Source organism: Homo sapiens, chromosome 19, assembly GCF_000001405.40.
Source record: "Homo sapiens chromosome 19, GRCh38.p14 Primary Assembly".
Classification (NCBI taxonomy): Eukaryota; Metazoa; Chordata; class Mammalia; order Primates; family Hominidae; genus Homo; species Homo sapiens.
This window is the reverse complement of record NC_000019.10, coordinates 29,940,005-29,959,151: the sequence shown is the minus strand read 5'-3', so window position 1 is coordinate 29,959,151 and position 19,147 is coordinate 29,940,005. Positions and strand designations below refer to the sequence as shown.

The following is a 19,147-nucleotide window of genomic DNA, read 5'->3' as shown; positions in this document are numbered from 1 at the left end:
TGTTTCAAAAAAACAAAAACAAAACACACACACAAAAACCAATAACAACAGTGTATAAACTTTTATAGGATATACAAAAATGGGAGTTGTTTCATGAGACCAGCCTAATTCTGAAGCCAAATCCTTACGTCGACATTACAAGAAAAGAAAATCATAGGTTTAAGGTAGTGTTAATGTTTTTTGTTGTTTTTTTTTTGAGACGGAGTCTCACTTGCCCAGGCTGGAGTGCAGTGGCGTGATCTCAACTCACTGCAACCTCCACCTCCCGGGTTCAAGCAATTCTCATGCCTCAACCTTCCGAGTAGCTGGGATTACAGGCCCCCGCCACCACACCCAGCTTATTTTTGTATTTTTTGTAGAGATGGGGTTTCACCATGTTGGCCAGGCTGATCTCAAACCCCTGACCTCACGTGATCCGCCCACCTCAGCTTCCCAAAGTGCTGGGATTACAGGTGTGAGCCGCAGCACCCTGGTAGAGTTAATCAAAAAAAAAGAAAAAAGAAAAGAAAAGAAAGAATTACAGAATTTTGCCTCATGTAACAGAACAAAATACCTTAATAAAATATTATCAAATTTAATCTAGCAATATACAACAAGGTAAACACATCCTCTACAAATGGGTTTGCTGCAGGAATGCAATGGCATTTGAATATTTTTAAAGAATCAAAGTAATTTACCATATTGTTATCTCAAGAAACATAGAAAATACATTTGATAAAATTCAGCATCCATTAATGATAAAATTAGCAACAGGAGAAAATGTCCTTATTTTCATAACGAGTAGCTACAAAAAGCCAACTACGAACATCTGTATGGTGAAATACTTAAAACTGCCCTCCTGGTATGTAAAGCCCAATGTCCTAACTTTTATTTTACATTATATTAAAGGTTCTAGCCCATACAATAGGGCAAAAAACAAAACAAAACAAACAACCATAAAAAAAAACTTAAGAACTGGAATGAATAAAACTGTCAGTATTTACAAACAACATGCCTGTATGTAACTACACAGATACTATCAGAATGTACAGGCAAGTAATTAGAATTCAAATAAATTTAGGCCAGGCATGGTGGCTCACACTTGTTGTGGTCCCAGCACTTTGGGAAGCAGAGGCGGGTGGATCACTTGAGGCCTGGAGTTGGAGACTAGTCTGGCCAACACAGCAAACTCATCTCTATTTTTTAACAACAACAAAAAATTTTAGAACAAAGTCAATATGTAAAAATCAAGTATGTTACCAGCAAAAAAAAAAAAAAAAATGAATAGCAAGTAAATTACAAAAGGCAACAAAAAATAGTATCTAGAAATAAATCTAACACATGAAGATTTATATACTTTTAAAAGCTAATACTAAAAAGTTATAGAAGTAAATAAATTGATATACCATGTTCATAGATTTTAAAACTTAATATTGTAAACATCTTAATTCTCCTCAAACCGATCTTTAGATCCAGTGCACTCCAAGCAAAACCCCAGTAATGTTATTTTTTGAGTATTGGAAAGGTGATCCTAAAATATATACAAAAAAGCAAAGGGTCAGAATAGTAAAGACAATCTTGAAGAACAAAGTGCTAGAGGAATTTTACTACTAGATATCAAGACCTATTATAAAGCTAAAATAGTAAGAGTGTGATACTGGTGCAATTACAGGCAAATAATCCAATGGAACAGAATAGAGAAACAGAGCTACACACAAATAATCACATAATTTATGAAACAGACAACATACTCCATAAGGATTACTCTGGCTGCTAAAAGAAAGCTTAACCCCCTCCAGAATCCCTAGAATTTTTTGTTACAATATCTGGCATCCAGTTCAAAATTACAAGGTACAAGGCAATCTATAAAAACAAAAGCGGCTATAAAGAAACCAAGGGGAAGGAATAAAAGCAGACCTTCATTTGATTGACATATTGCATTTATAAAATATAATAGACTTTATGATTAATACATTCATGAAAACAGAAGAAAAGTTGCAGATGTCAACAGAAACTTGGAATCCATTTTAAAATTTCAAAACATAAATTGTATTTCTTTTACGGTTTTCCTGCTGATAAATCCAAAAGAATTATAAGCAGGAAAATGACAAAATGACATCATCCAATTTGCATTCTTAAAAAGACTACTCTGGGCCACTTTTTTTTGCTGCGTTTACTGTGAGAATGAAGACCATTCTCAGCAATCAGACTGTTGACATTCCAGAAAATGTCAACGTTACTCTGAAGGGACGCACAGTTATCATAAAGGGCCCCAGAGGAACCCTGCGGAAGGACTTCAATCACATCAACGTAGAACTCAGACTCCTTGGAAAGAAAAAAAAGAGGCTCCGGGTTGACAAATGGTCGGGTAACAGAAAGGAACTGGCTACCGTTCGGACTATTTGTAGTCATGTACAGAACATGATCAAGGGTGTTACACTGGGCTTCCATTACAAGATGAGGTCTGTGTATGCTCACTTCCCCCATCAACGTCGTTATCCAGAATGGGTCTCTTGTTGAAATCCGAAATTTCTTGGGTGAAAAATACATCCGCAGGGTTCAGATGAGACCAGGTGTTGCCTGTTCAGTACCTCAAGCCCAGAAAGATGAATTAATCCTTGAAGGAAATGACACTGAGCTTGTTTCAAATTCAGCAGCTTTGATTCAGCAACCCACAACAGTTAAAAACAAGGATATCAGGAAATTTTTGGATGGTATCTATGTCTCTGAAAAAGGAACTGTTCAGCAGGTTGATGAATCAGATCTAAGAGTTATCCAGCTACAGAAAGAAGATGCCAGATGACTCCTAAGACATACTTGTGATATTTCAATGATGCAATAAAAGACCTATTGATTTGGACCTTCTTAAAAAAAAAAAAAAAAAAAAGACTACTCTGGGCCAGGCGCCGTGGCTCATGCCTGTAAAATTTTGGGAGGCCGAAGACAGGTGGATCACCTGAGGTCAGGAGTTTGAGACCAGACTGACCAACATGGCGCTCATCTCTACTAAAAATACAAAAATTAGCTGGGTGTGGTGGCGGGCACCTGTAATCCCAGCAACATGGGAGGCTGAGGCAGGAGAATCGCTTGAACCCAGGATGTGGAGGTTGCAATGAGCCAAGACCACTCCATTGCACTCCAGCCTGGGCAACAAGAGCGAAACTCCATCTCAAAAAATAAAAAAAAAAAAAGACTACTCTGGGAAATAGACAGAAGAGGAACAAAGTGGAACTACCAAGGCCAGCCAGGAATTACTGCCTCTTTTGTAAGAAATGATAACTGGGCCAGGCACGGTGGCTCACGCCTGTAATCCCAGCACTTTGGGGGGCCAAGGAGGGCACATCACCTGAGGTCAGGAGTTTGAGACCTGCCTGGTCAACATGGTGAAATCCTGTCTCAACTAAAAATATAAAAATTAGCTGGGCACGGTGGTGGGTGCCTGTTAATCCCAGCTACTTGGGAGGCTGAGGCAGGAGAATCACTTGAACCCAGGAAGAAAGAAAAAAAAAAAGAAAAGAAAAAAATGGTAACTGGGAAAATGGCAATGAAGATCACAGGAAACAGCCAATTCAAGGAATTCCTAGTTTTCAGATATAATATTCTTCTATTTCTCTTATGTATTTTTATTTCACATTATAAATTAAATTAAACATAATAGTTCATTGAGAGGGTGGTTATAAATATGGATAAAGCTAAACAAATTTACCCTTTGACTCAGTAATCCAACTCTAGGACTTTACCCAAAGTTACTTCACAAATGAGAAACAACATATGCATAAAGTGATTTACTGAGGCATTATCTATACTATCAAGAGACTAAAAAACACCAAATGCCCATCAATAAGATATCAGCTGAATATCTGATGACACAGACATAAAGCACTATGCAACCACAAAATATGATAAGGAGGCCGGGCACGGTGGCTCACGCCTGTAATCTCAGCACTTTGGGAGGCCGAGGCAGGCGGATCACGAGGTCAGGAGATCGAGACCATCCTGGCTAACACAGTGAAACCCCGTCTCTACTAAAAAATTAAAAAAAAAAAAAAAATTAGCTTGGCTGAGGCAGGAGAATAGCATGAACCCGGGAGGCGGAGCCGAGAATGCACCGCTGCACTCCAGCCTGAGCAACAGAGCGAGACTCCATCTCCAAAAAAATAAAAAAAAAATGATGAGGAATATCTCTATGAACCAGAGTAATTCCCAGGTTTATCATTTAATGAGATGAACAAAAGGCAAAATAAGCTGCCTTTTGTATAAGAAAGCAGTATGGAGGGGAGATAAAGTGAACACATGTATTTTTGAAGAAGAAACAGAGGAAGGACAGGTCAAAAGTGAATGTAAATGGTTATCTAGGCCGGCTGTGGTGGTTCACACCTGTAATCCTAGCACTTTGGGAGGCTGAGGCGGGCAGATCACCTGAGGTCAGGAGTTTGAAACCACCCTGGCGAACATGGTCAAACTCCATTTCTACTAAAAATATTTTTTAAATTAGCCGGGCATGGTGGTGGGCGCCTGTAATTCCAGTTACTTGGGAGGCTGAGGCAGGAGAATTGCTTGAACCTGGGATGTGGAGGTTGCAGTGAGCCGAGATTGCGCCACTGCACTCCAGCCTGGGCAACAAGAGTGAAACTCTGTCTCAAAAAAAAAAAAAAAAAAAAGTTTATCTGTAGGGGTAAGTAAGAGCAGGAATGGGAATGAATCAGAATTACCTCAGTAGGGATAACTTTTGATTTAGTTGTGATTTTGAACCATGCAAATGTTTTCATGTATTCATAAAATGCAATTAAGTGAAAAAGATAAAAAACAAATACTAAGATTCAATATAAATAAAAATCCAAGGTATAACTGCACAGAAAAAAAGTAATTCAAGTGACTTTTGGGATCAGTACCCTAACTGTACACCCCAAAAGCATTAATTACACAAAAGCCAATGAAACTGCAAAGACATTTTGAACTTTACTTCAGGTTTGCCATTGGCAGTGGTATTAATGCAGTAATTCTGAAGCTATTTTGTATATATTGTAGGATAGAGCAAATGAATAAATGCAGATGTTGAGAACCAAGGTTTTCACTATGAAAGAAGGGGAGTTTCAAATATAGACTGGGGAAAATTTAAGAAGAACCTTGTGGTAATGGATTTGAATTCAAAGTATCAGGGTATACAGTCAGGGTCCATTGAACCCAGTTTTATTTTTTTAGTTTCTTTCTTGAGTAGTTCTAACTATTTGCAAGGATTAATATTTCATGCCTTTTATCTTCTCTTAGAGGCCTTCCAAGGAATCAAAAGAAAATTTTCCTATTAAGAAAAAAAAAACTCATTTTATTCTGCAATTACCATATGAATACAGTGGCTTTGTAAGTCTAAGATACACTACAGGATCCTAGTGATTATGTTTTTCCTGCATCTTGCCATTTCATCATCACCTTAGTAATTATTTTATGATCAACTATTCCTAACTACGCTCTAAAAAAAAAAAACTAATAAGAAAATGAGAAAATGGAAGAATTATGGAATCACTCAGAAGGATAATGCAATCAACAGCAAAATATCATCCTTCCATTGTCTACTGCATTGCCTAGGATATTGCATCATCTTTCAAGACAGTATAAATGATAACAGACACCATCTTTGTACTCTGCTTTTCGCTTTCAATAAACACAGTTGAGAATTCAGATTGTTTTTACTTTCTGCCTATAATGGAAAGAGGAAAAAAGTGATGGAAAGATACTTCACAATTATTAAATGAATCAGATTATGAATATAAAGAGCTAGTAGCACTCTTGACCAATGAAGTCCAATAAATTTTTTTTTTGATGAAGGGAATCTTCATCAGCACAGACCAATACAACAGTCAATAGCCAAATGTGACTAATGAGCACTTGAGATGTGGCCATTGTAACCAAAAAACTGAATTTTTATTTTACTTAATTTTAATTAATTTGAATTTTGAATTTAAGTATAATAGCCACATGTGGTTAATGGCTACCACATTGGTTAGCGCAGAAAGACACTCGTGATGGTGAAATGAGAGCATAAATTAAATCTCAGATTATGAGCCTTCAGATGAAAATATCCTAGATGAATTTTCTCAAAATCAACAATCAATGAATATACAGAAATTAACTCAAAACGGATCAATGACCTAAATATAAGCGCTAAAATCATGAAATCCCTAGAAGGAAACATAGGTATAAATCTTCAAGACCTTGGATCTGGCAATGGATTCTTAGATATGACACCAAAAAACACAAGCAACAAAATGTATAGTCATAAATGACTTGGGGTTTGGGGGAGGGGAGAATGACAGCGTTATTGCTTAATGGGTAGAGAGTTTCTGTTTGGGGTGACGAAAAAGTTTTAGAAAGAATAGTGATGGTTACCTAACAGTGAATGTAATCAATGTCACTGAAAAGTATACACACAAGAAATGTTAAATGGCAGATTTTATTAAATATATTTAGTTTACCATAATAAAACAAGATTGCTAGAATAAAAGATCTCTAAACTCTATTTCCTCTTCTACTCCTGTAAGTTTTTTAAATTCTTGAGGTCAGAGGCTAGGAGAAAAAAACCCTGAAGACACCAGAAATAGGTTCTTAAAGCAGGCATTCTGTAATGGTTTATCTTTGTATTGTTTTAAGTCCTAGAAGAAACCATGCCAATGGAGGAAGAAAACTACATGCATCTGAACTTAGTGAATGTTAAAAAAGAGTTGACTGATTAGAATAAGGAAAAATTAAGAATCCGTGAGTGAACACTATACTTGTAAGAACAAAAAGGAAATAGGATATTCCCATCCAGTCAGTCATTCAACAGGAAAGACTTCATGATGCAAGAACCTGGATAATCTCATTGTTCTAAGAGGACATGTGGCAGTATTCTTAAATCTCTTATAATCTTTGTGCATCAAGATTTGCTTAATATAAAGAGAACTGCTGTGTTTAAATTCTGATTAAACTTTCCAATAAAATTGTTTTTCACTAACCCTTATTCTTAGACCTGTAAATTATTTGCAAAAATTACTTAAAAATATAAACAGTAAACAGGATCCACTGGACCTAGATGGTAAATGGTGATGACTGCTTTTTCTGGTATATTGAAGGTTAATATATTTCCTTAGTACTGTCTGCTTGATGCAATTAACACCCCAGCAGCAATCAGCACTACTTGTGTCCATATCTTGGTTTCTAAGCATTTCTTATTTTATAAGGCTCTTGGAAGAAACAGTCAATTTCAGGACTAAGGCAAACTACAGGGCAAGCCTGGAACATCCTGTGCCAGAAAGCAAGGTAACGATCAAATAATGAAAAAAGAATGCACAAGCCAGGCACGGTGGCTCACGCCTGTAATCCCAGCACTTTGGGAGGCCAAGGCAGGTGGATCACCTGAGGTCAGGAGATCGAGACCAGCCTGGCCAACATGGTGAAACCTCGTCTCTACTAAAAATACAAAAAAGTAGCTGGGCGTGGTGGCAGAGGCCTGTAATCCCAGCTACTTGGGAGGCTGAGGCAGGAGAGTCACTCGAACCCAGGAGGCGGAGGTTGCAGTGAGCCAAGATCGTGCCACCGCACTCCAGCCTAGGCAACAAGAAACTCTGTCTCAAAAAAAAAAAAAAAGAATGCATGCTTGAGCCAGCTTGAAGGGGCTCCCATTGGCCAAATTTAGAACAATTTGAACATCAAAAGGAATGAAGAAATCACATCACTCTCAACTTGAAACAACAAAAAAATGAGTTTATTGTGAAACTAAAGGGGGGGGTGCTAGAGTTCTTGTTGCTCGAAAAACATAAACTAATAAATACATTGTTAGAAAATCACTAATTAGCAAACACCAATATAACTGATTTAGGCAAGGATCATCCATGGCAAAAGGCTTTTGAGGAATAGGATATTTACACTGTCTTCAAGTACTATACCATTTAAAGGTAACTTTATGATGGAGAGACTTGACATCTTAAACAAGTGGTTAGCAACACTAATAATGGGACAAAAATGACATTATGTGTCTCCTGATGTGATGCAATGGAAAGTCATCATCATCTATGTAATCACGCGTGTATGTGTGTGTGTGTTTTTAGAGACAGGACCTTACCACTTTGTTGCCCAGGCTGGACTCCACCTCCTGCCTCAGCCTTCGGAGCTTTTGGAGTAACTGGGACTATAGGCTTGTGCCACCAACCAGCTATCTACGTAGTATTCTTGCCAAAAATGTTTGTTTCTTCATGATTATGTTCATTAGACATCTCCAAATTGTGGGACGTTCTACAAGAAAACTGATCTAACGCTTCAAAAATGCCAATTTCATAAAGACAGAAGGTGGCGGGGAATAATTTTAGATGAAAGAAGATTAAGGAGCTAAGAGAGTCAAATGCCATAGTAATCTCTGATTGGCTCTTGCATTGAAAGAGAGTTATAAAGGACATTTTTAGAAAAACTGAGAAAATGTGAATATGGTACATGTCAATGTTAATTTCTTGAGTGTAAAAAAAGATATGGTTATGTAGAAGAATGACCTTGATGTAAAATGATAAGTGCTTCAGTATTATTGATGTGATGATGTCTGCAATTCACTTTTGAATGGTTCTGCAGGGGGAAAAGGGAAAAAAAAGGAATATATAAAGAGAAAAGCAAATAGGACAAAATGCTAACTGATTACTCTAAACAGTGGTCATCATATTGTTCTTTCACCTTTCCTGTACTTTTATAATTTTTCAAATAAACAGTTGTAGTTTAAGGGGGGAAAATTGCATATGACAGACTAAAAAGATTGAGACATCACTCTGGAGATAAGGGCAAGTGATACAAGCTAAAAGGTTCTTAAACTAAAAATGATAACAACAGGTAAAACAAAATAAAGCAGTTATGGCCAAATCACAGATTCCACGCACCTTCTTCCCCCTTTCCCCCCAGTGTTTTGGGACCATTACCATCTTTTCTTCCAATCTAGAGAAGCCTAAAACAATGAAATGGGTTTTTTCCTCCTTGAAATACTGTTTTATGTTTATTGACAACTTCCAAAGAACTAAAACCAAAGTTGTCTCTTCTTATGGCACATTACTGGCACAATACTAAGTGCCAACAACAAGAAGTTTATCTAAAATAAAACTTACAAGTAATGAGTTCTGAAAACTCACCTACCTACAAAACGGAATGTGCCTTCGGCTATACAAGCAAACATATTCTTACAACTGTGCCTTTCTTAAAAAATAAGTAACCTCTCCCTCCCCCTCCCCCTCCCGTCTCCCCACAGTCTCCCTCTCCCTCTGTCTCCATGGTCTCCCTCTGATGCCAAGCCGAAGCTGGACTGTACTGCCGCCATCTCGGCTCACTGCAACCTCCCTGCCTGATTCTCCTGCCTCAGCCTGCAGAGTGCCTGGGATTGCAGGCGCGCGCCGCCACGCCTGAGTGGTTTTCGTATTTTTTTGGTGGAGACAGGGTTTCGCTGTGTTGGCCGGGCTGGTCTCCAGCTCCTAACCGCGAGTGATCTGCCAGCCTTGGCCCCCCGACGTGCCGGGATTGCAGACGGAGTCTCGTTCACTCAGTGCTCAATGTTGCCCAGGCTGGAGTGCAGTGGCGTGATCTCGGCTGGCTACAACCTCCACCTCCCAGCCGCCTGCCTTGACCTCCCAAAGTGCCGAGATTGCAGCCTCTGCCCAGCCACCACCCCGTCTGGGAAGTGAGGAGTGTCTCTGCCTGGCCGCCCATCGTCTGGGATGTGAGGAGCCCCTCTGCCCGGCTGCCCAGTCTGGGAAGTGGGGAGCGCCTCTTCCCGGCCGCCATCCCGTCTAGGAAGTGAGGAGCGTCTCTGCCCAGCCGCCCATCGTCTGAGATGTGGGGAGCACCTCCGCCCCGCCGCCCCGTCTGGGATGTGGGGAGCGCCTCTGCCCGGCCACGACCCCGTCTGGGAGATGAGGAGCGTCTCTGCCCGGCCGCCCCGTCTGAAAAGTGAGGAGCCCCTCCGCCCGGCAGCCGCCCCATCTGGGAAGTCAGGAGCCCCCTCTGCCCCACAGCCGCCCCATCTGGGAGGTGAGGAGCCCCTCCGCCCGGCAGCTGCCCCGTCTGGGAAGTGAGGAGCGTCTCCGCCCGGCAGAAGCCCCGTCCGGGAGGCGGGGGGCAGCCCCCGCCCGGCCAGCTGCCCCGTCCGGGAGGGAGGCGGGGGGCAGCCCCCGCCTGGCCAGCCGCCCCGTCCGGGAGGTGGGGGGCGCCTCCGCCCGGCCGCGGTCCCGTCTGGGAGGTGGGGGGTGCCTCTGCCCGGCCGCCCCTTCTGGGAAGTGAGGACTCCCTCTGCCTGGCCGCCACCCCGTGTGGCAGGTGTACCCAACAGCTCACTGAGAACAGGCCATGATGACGATGGCGGTTTTGTCGAATAGAAAAGGGGGAAATGTGGGGAAAAGATAAAGGAATCGGATTGTTGCTGTCTGTGTGGAAAGAAGTAGACATAGGAGACTACATTTTGTTCTGTACTAAGAAAAATTCTTCTGCCTTGGGATGCTGTTAATCTATAACCTTACCCCCAGCCCCGTGCTCTCTGAAACATGTGCTGTGTCCACTCAGGGTTAAATGGATTAAGGGTGGTGCAAGATGTGCTTTGTTAAACAGATGCTTGAAGGCAAAAAAAAGTAACTTCAACATTACTTATTGAAGTTACAGAACTTACAGAACAAATATACTCTTTTCAATAAATTACCATAATTAAATCAATTTAGAAAAAGCATTTCTAAAATTCAACACCCACTCATAAAAACTCATAGCAAACTTGGAATATAAGGAAATTTCCTTAATCTGATAAAAGCAAATACAAAAATTACTCACAGTAAATACCACACTTAATGGTAAATGTTTAAAAGTTGACCCCTGATGCCCACTACCAGCACTTGAACTGGCCAGTATCAAAAGCAAGAAAAAGAAAGAAACAGCATACGGACTGGAAAGGAGAAAATAAAGGCAATCTTGAGGAACCACAACTAAAACTACACCACCATGTACCAGGTACCAAGATAACACAAAGTCATAATGATTTAGACAGTGTAGGTTTGCTGCAAGAACAGACAAGCCAACAGAACAGTCAAGAAACTGATCTACTTACACAGTCACCTGATTTATGACAAAGATGACAATGCGGTGGAGACATGACACTCTTTCCAATAAATGCTGATGGGACAACTAGGTATCCATACAGTAAAAATGAAACCTGACCTCAATCTCCCCCATATACAAAGCCAATTCCAGGTAGAATGTAGATTCTCAATGTGAAAAGCAAAGCAGTAAAGCTTCTATTAGACAATATAAGAGGATATCTTCAGAAAAGTAGTAAGAAAGACCTCTTAAAAATAAGACAAAAAACACTAACCATGAAGGAAACAATTGTTAAAATTAAAAATGTCTGTTGATCAAAGGACAGACACCACTGTAAGTGCTCCAAGTCAAGCCACAGACCAGGGAAGAAACTTACAATATATAATTGGAAAGGCAGTCATTACTATGAATCAATTAGAATATAACTAACATCCCAATAGAAAGTAGTTAACAGATGAGCAGGTATTTCACAAAAACAAAACACAAAAATCCAAGTAGCCAATAAACATCTGAAAAGGTCATCAACCTCATTACTCATCACTAGATTGGCTAGCAAATATGAAAAGACACATGGTGGTAAAGACTGAAGCAGGGAGAACTTCTGTCCACTGCTAGCAAGCGGTAAACTGGTATAACCACCTTAGAAAAAGCATTCTAAGTGGAACTGAAGACACAAACACGCCATGAGAAAGTTCCAGGCAAAAACTAGAAACAAACTGTTCATCTGAAAAATAAACAGTATTAATGAAAATTCTAAGATCGGATCTGTAAACATCTATCACAATGCGTGGCACACAGAGTTGCTCCCTATAATGTAATTCCATCCGTCCATTTCTTCACATATGCATGACAAATGGATATAATTTAAGATCAGCCTCAAAACACATTCCAATCGTTTCCCATCTCACAAATATGAAAACCAAAACTCTTACAATGATCTGGTACTGCTCTCATACTGGCTAGAAAGCTCTTCTCTAAAATATCCTCCATATATCCACACAGCTCACTCCCCACTTATTTCAAGTTTCTGCTCAAATGGAACCTAACAGAGAAGCCCTCTCTGATGGCTTACAGAAGACACCATCCCTCCACTCACATCCCTCATTCTCTACACGCCTCTTACCTTCCTGTTTTTCTACTTAGCCTTACCTACCAAACACCCAAGGTAAGGCTATGTAACTGCATGCCTTCACCCCTAGAGTGTAACCATGAAAGAAAGAACTTGCTGTATTTTGTTCATTACTGCACACTCAGCAGAACATGCCTGGCATGTAGTAGATACTCATTAAATATTTGTTACATAAATTCTATGGCATGGATTCTAGGCTTGGAAAGAATAGCTGTTATATGGCCTACGTGGCTGACAGTTCTTTAAACTATGTGCAGTTTAGTTTATCACAAGAAATATGAAAACCCTCCATTAAGTTAAATTAGCTGTTCTGCTTTATAAAAAATTTAAAATATTTACTCTTAATGCATTTAATTCCCCAAGGATCTATATCAGGAAGTATAAGCTATTCCAAAATTCCAAGTGAGAACTACATGAGGCACTCAATTATAAATATATTATCCTAATGAATTTTCTAATCTTACTATTATCCTGCAAATAAGCCTATAAAAACGATACTGGATCCACCACTTTTTAAAATATTACAATAAAATCTCAGTAGTTCTGCTAATAAAAGCTAATAGTATCTAGAGATAAAATACAGGTATCTCAGAAACATCACCTTAGCCAAGAAACAAAAATTTCAACATAATGCAATTCTTAGAATCAGATTTAACAAGATCTTAGTACAAGGAAACCTCCCTGAACAGCCCAAGACACTCCACAACAGTCCTAGACCACACATTTTATGGTATAGGTCACAGTCTAGACAGGTTAAGCTTCCATTTTTCCAACAAATATTTTACTGCTGTTAGTAAAAACAGATTTAGTTAAAGACAAAAAAAGGATGATCTGAATTTCTCTCCTCTCCCTGTATCTTATAACAAATGAAGATTAAATAAAACCTTTGGGGGGGGGAAGGAAATCAACTGGAAGATGGTTGTTTGAATAAATTATATATATCAGCTCTGAAGTAACCAAGAAATAAACCTGCCTAACCGGCATTCAAACCAGCCAAGAGCCATTTTTCAGGCTCAGAAAGTGTTTTGCAATTAAAGTAACATTCCAATTTTCGTTAAAATTAAAATAAGTTTTATCAATAGCTTTTTTTGGAAAAAAAAAAATCCCATCCAATTTTACAAACTTTTAGGTAAAATAATAAAATTGTGTACTTTTAAAACAATGGTGTTTTCCTATGTAAAATGTGTAAATATTTATATAAACGTAACTGGAACCACCCTATACATACTGTCCTAGTTTTCAATGCCTACGTAACAGCTCCTGATTTATTTAACCAATCCCCCAATGTCAGACTTTTAGTTTTTCTCTTTATAAACAAAGCTGCAGGGAATGTTTCTTACATGTTTTATTGCTAGATCAAAATAGAAACAAACCGAAGTTCTAACTAAAATAAATTGTTTTGGAAATGTTTCACCATTGACTGTAAGTGAAAGCAATGTTAAAATATTTGATCCTAACCGCTGACTACAGATATTGTCACTTAGAGGTTGTGGCTTGTTCATGCCCCTTGTCTGTCCTCTTCCTCAGGTTGCCAATTTTTTGTCCTTTTTATTCCATGTTCCAGAGAACATACAAGAAAAAAAGAGAGAGAGAGCGTAAAACTTGTTATACTCCTTAGCTGAATTTGGAAAAAAAGAAAGAGCAAAACTAATGAGCAACATTTAAGCCACATTACCTACCAGCCCCTCTCAATCAAGGCTCCCAGAGAAGATTATGCCCTAAGCCTAAGGCACCCACTGTGTGTAAGGAACTCATTTCTCTCTCTGCATCTACAGCCAACTAGGTAGGTACCCTCTCAGGGAAAACTGAGAACAGTCATTCAAATCATTTTCTGCAGAGTTTAACTCTGTCTCACAAAACCCATGTAGGGAAAGGCCAAGAGCTTAAAAGCATGTTTGATTCATCTTTCATAAAGGAATACTAAGTGCCACATATGAAGCTACTATGACATTTTCCCCTTCTACACTCAGGATGTCACTACGCTTCTACTTTACTAGAACTCACTGTACTCCCACAACTGGGCCAGCTTTAAAGCCTAAATAAATTGCTTCACAAAAAATTTTCACTGCCGATTTACTGGGTAGTTTTCCTGTACTACACTATAATTACAGTGCAGCTATCTAATCAGTTTATTTTGTGGCCTTGTGGGTCTCCTGTCCACTGAAGCAAATGCTTCTATTAAATAAAGATAGATTAAATACTGACGCGCTTTTTCCTGAACTGGGGATAATTTTACACACCCATGACAGATATACGTGGTTATTTTGTGTGCCGAATTAACATTAACACAACACAGAAAAATAATTTGGTAGCACAGTCAATGTCTACAGAAAACAGTCATTCAGTTTGCCACAAGACTGTAACTGAAAAAGCAGTTACTCTCTCTTCCAATGTAACTCAACACGATACCAGAAAGCTGTTCAGAGCACCCCAAAAAGTATCCTTTGCATTTCAGTCACACTAACATCAGAATAAAACTAAGGATATCTTTTTAATATGCCAAATGGCAGAAAACATATCAAGTCAGCATTATGCACGTATTATACACTGAAGGAGGTGAAATTAACCCACTGCAGCAGAGGAAAGGCAATAGAAACACCATCCTCTGAGGGTCTGTGTCACATTCTCTGAAAGAATAAAAAATGCCAAGTTTTGGCAAAAGGAGTAAGATTTCATGAGGGGCTGTTTTTTCTTTCTTCTTTTTCTATCTTTCTCTTTTAAAAAAATACATTAATGTCTTCTAATTTAAAGACGCCAAACTAGTTAAGTTTTATATATATATATATATATATATATATATATATATATATATATATATATATATGAATGACAGGGTCTCACTCTGTCGCCCAGGGTGAAGTGCAGTTGCATGACCATGGCCCACTGCAGCCTCAAACGCCTGAGCTCAAGTGATCCTCTCACCTCAGCCTCCCAAGTACGTGGGACTACAAGCGTGCACCACCATGGCCCGGCTAATTTTTTGTATTTTTTTGTATAGACGGAGGTCTCCCTGTGTTGCCCAGGCTGATCTCGAACTCCTTGGCTTCAAGCAATTCCACGACCTTGACATCCCAAGCAGCTGGGATTACAGGTTTGAGTCACCACCCTAGCCACTGGATTTTTAAACCTTCATCTTGAAAACATGGCTTCCAAACCTAACAGTTGCGTTATTAGAGAAAAATGGCTGAGAAATGAAAATCCAACCCACAAAATAATTTAAACCAACCAGAACAAAGAAAGATTCCCGCAGTTCATCCCAACAGGTGGTTTCCAAGCAAACGAGGGTTTTTTAAGTTCTATCAAAACCCCCATCTAGTAGAACTGAGTATATTTTTGTATCTATGTAAACAGTCGTTCTTATACAGGAATGTTCAATTAAAAAGTTAAGAACTTTTAAACTGCTTATAGTGTTGAAGCAACTTCCTAACCCTTTATAATCCATGCTCTTCCAAACATGACATAAAATATTTTAAGCAAATTAAATACTGCTTTTCAAAGTAACAATTTCAAGACACTTGAGGGGACAGAATCAATCTGAAAGACCACAGAATCCACAGAAAAATCAGATTTAACAATAAAACTATTTCTTAAATTGGGAATACTTCTTTATATAAAGTCCCACTAGGAAACACAAAACTTTGTACCCTTTTCACCAGTAGTTTAAAACTCATTTATTATACGATGAAATTAAAATTTGTAAAAATGAGCCGGGTGCGGTGACTCAGGCCTATAATCCCAACACTTTGGGAGGCGAGGTGGGGAAGGGTAGGAGGGGGAGGATCGCTTGAGGCCAGAAGTTCGAGATTAGCCTGGGCAACATAGTGAGACTCTCTTTTTTTTTTAATGTTTAAATGGCATTATATTGTGACAAATATTAAATAACCAAATATTGCACAGGAAGCATTATCATGACAAACGCGGTAAAACTTTTCCGTGCAATCAAAGAGCAACAAACAGTACACATTTTAAGCAATGTTTAGGTCATTACAAGCTACAAATATTAAGGCGAACGCTTCCGTTGACAGCGTGCTGCCCCCGCCCCCAAATTCCCACGCGCTGCCGCACGCCTTCAGCTCAGAAGCCCCCTTTCCTGGGCAGGCGAACGGGCTGCACACCCCTCACTCCGCTGCGAAGTCAAAGGGCTGCAGACAAAGACAACAGAAGCACGTGACAAAAGTTTATCCCCGTTCCCTCCGGGGGCCCGGGCAGCTGGGCCTAGGCCACGCGGGGCGGCGGCCCAGAGCACAGGCAGGGGCAGCCCGGCGGGCGGAGGCGGAAGCGGCGCGGGGCTGCTAGTTACCTTTTCCTGCTCCTCGCGCAGCCGCGCCACATCCGGGGCGCGCAACGGAACCAGGGCAGGGGCCGGGGCCGAAGGGGGCGAGGGGTCGGGGGGCGTCTCCACGGTGGGCGCCTCCATGACGGGCCCGCGGGCCTCAGCGCGGCGTGTGAGTCCTGAACCAGCGCCTGCGCAGGCGGCGCGGCCGGCAGTTGCCCAGCGCCCGCGCGCCCGCCCTCAGGCACCGCGCGCCCCGCGCCCAGGAGGCCGCGCCCGCCGCCGCCGCTGCTGTTCGCGTCCGCGCCGCCCGCTGCCGCATCTCACACGTGCATGTCCCCGCCGCCGCCGCCCCGCAGCGGGCTCCGAGTAGCAGGCCGCCTGCCAGGTACCGAGACGCCTCTCCGGTGCGGGCCCAGCCAGGCGTCGCGTGGCGGCCGCGCCTCCCCACACGCCCCGCCTCTCGCGGCACGCCGGAAGCAAGCGCGCAGGCCCCGCCCCCGACACGCCCAGCTCGCGCAGGCCCCGCCCCCAGGGGAGTGCGCTTGATGCGAACCGCGTGGCTGGGGCTGGCGGTGTCCGCGCTGGGCTGCGTTTGTATCCCTCTGGAAGCTTACATTTTATGCCGATATTTCTTTCTTTTTTTTTTTTTGAGATTACGTATATGAAAGCACTAAATATAGGCTTTGGAACCTTAAAAAAAAAAAGCTTACATTCTATAGAAGCTCCACGCCCAGGAAACGCTCGGCAACAAGAGCCGCGTGTCGCCTTGAGTGCCCCATCTCCCTCCCCGTCGTTTGGCGCTGCATCTGTATCTAGGAGCTTAATTCATGTACTAGAGCTGTTTCATAAGCACATTTAATTTTAGCAAATTCAACTCTTTCTGTGCCTTTTTAGTGAGTTGAAATATACAATTATATTTTGCATGTTCATTAATTACTGTACACATTGTATTTTCTCTTATATAAATTAAGCTACTGTACTAATTTTAATATGCTGCTATGAATGGACTAAGAAATTTTCCAAGGATAACTTTGCCCCCACTTTTCTTTTTTTTTTTTTTTTTTTTAAGAGACTGAGTCTTGGTCTGTCGCCCGGGCTGGAGTGCAGTAGTGCCATCATTTCTCACTGCAGCCTCAAACTCCTAGACTCAAGCGATCTTCCCACCTCAGCCTCAGGAGTAGCTGGGACCACTGGCCCGCACCAACACATCCTGTTAATTTTTCTATTTTTTGTAGAGGCGGGGTCTCCCTATGTTGCCCAGGCTGGTCTTGACATTAAGCGAGCCTCCTGTCTTAGCTAACCTCCTGTCTTGGATTCCCTGAAGTGCTAGGATTACAGGTGTGAGCTACCACACCTGGCCGTTCCAATTATTTTAGAACTCCTGTGCCCACTTCCTCCTACAGCCCTTTGTACAGCCTCCTATTAACCTAACTGCGTGAAAGTGGCCTTGCCTTATCTGCTGCAGTCGCTAGCAGTAAAGATGGGTCGTGTTCGTTCCACATCATACAGACAAGTCTAGGCAGAGAGATGCCTGCAGAGTCACAGCCTGGTGTGCCTGCTTGCTCTGCTTCTCTTCCCTCACTCCTGCCCAGCTCCCAAGTCCAGATCCACCCTTTTTTTCCTTTTTATGGCTTCAAAGGAAGAAAGCAAGGACAACTTGGGAAAAGATAAATGTTCATTCCTGTCTTTTCCTCACTGCATATCCAACCATCATCACCTCTGGAACAGCCAGGACCTGACCATTGTTACCATCTCTTCTACCACCACCATCCTCTCTCCATCCCCAGCCACCTCAGCAACCATTGATCTGGCCTTGCTGCCCCTACTCTTGTCCCTTGTAATGGAGATCGGCTGCTGCCCACCCCACTTCCCCTCGTTTAGGGGCTTAACCCGCGACCACATAGTCCTGTGCCTGTAGGAAGCTGACCCACCCCCTAGCTCCAGGCAAAGGGGGTGATGCATCTCCCTTCTAAATAGTTGGTTCAAGAATGGGTGTGCGATGTCGTCCAAACAGAGACTTCCTGGAGGCTTCTGGGAAGGTTCTTTTTTTTTTCCTCTGTTGCCCAGGCTGGAGTGCAATGGTGCCATCTTGGCTCACTGCACCCTCTGCCTCTTGGGTTCAAGCGATTCTCCTGCCTCAGCCTCCTGAGTAGCTGGGACTACAGGCGCGTGCCACCACACCTGGCTAATTTTTGTATTTTTAGTAGAAACAGGGTTTCACCATGTTGGCCAGGCTGGTCTCAAACTCCTGGCCTCAAGTGATCCACCCGCCTTGGCCTCCTAAAGTGCTGGGATTACAGGCAAGAGCCACCACGCCTCTCCTGAGAAGGTTCTTCCTCATTCTTCAAAAGTGCTCCCATAAGGAATCAGTCTATCCCCTTGGCCAGGAAGTGCAAAGCAGGTAGCCCCATGTGTATCAGACAGCCCCCCAGACCACCTAGACACTCCAGTACTCAGAATGAAGTGCGATCTGTGGTCAGCAGAGCTGAGAACAGAACCCAATCCTTGACAGCATCACAGAACTTGATCCAGGGCTGAATCAACCAGCTCTGGAGTCTGCATCACTTCTGAACTTCCCGTTTAAAAGGCCAGTAAATTTTCTAAATGACCAGGACAATTTTCTATCATGAGCAGCCAAAGACATCCAATTCGCACACCTCTAAACTATTATCCACTCAGCAGTC

General features: G+C 41.7%; 1 protein-coding gene and 1 pseudogene across 8 annotated transcripts in view, besides 2 other annotated features; one reads left to right on the top strand and one right to left on the bottom strand.

Annotated features, from left to right (window-relative positions):
- The window catches only part of URI1 (URI1 prefoldin like chaperone), a 92,956-nt gene that overhangs the window by 57,461 nt on the left and 16,348 nt on the right, over nt 1-19,147 (bottom strand). For 4 of the 8 annotated variants that reach the window (NR_045557.1, NM_003796.3, XM_005259363.5 and 1 more), the window contains exon 1: nt 16,488-16,913. The exons of the other annotated variants lie outside the window; for them this stretch is intronic. Coding sequence is in view for 3 of the 4 variants with exons in the window: in NM_003796.3 (NP_003787.2) it covers nt 16,488-16,604 (117 nt within the window). In the remaining variant the exon portion in view is untranslated. Of the gene's footprint in view, nt 1-16,487; nt 16,914-19,147 lie in introns of those variants that run through there. 8 annotated transcript variants of the gene reach the window in all.
- RPL9P32 (ribosomal protein L9 pseudogene 32) lies at nt 2,139-2,846 on the top strand (annotated as a pseudogene).
- Nucleotides 16,388-17,057: a silencer, noted in NCBI's record as "silent region_10473". NCBI's record gives its function as "represses an Ori minimal core promoter by ATAC-STARR-seq in GM12878 lymphoblastoid cells {active_cell/tissue: GM12878}" and the evidence as "EXISTENCE:reporter gene assay evidence [ECO:0000049][PMID:35858748]".
- Nucleotides 17,078-17,167: an enhancer, noted in NCBI's record as "active region_14423". NCBI's record gives its function as "activates an Ori minimal core promoter by ATAC-STARR-seq in GM12878 lymphoblastoid cells {active_cell/tissue: GM12878}" and the evidence as "EXISTENCE:reporter gene assay evidence [ECO:0000049][PMID:35858748]".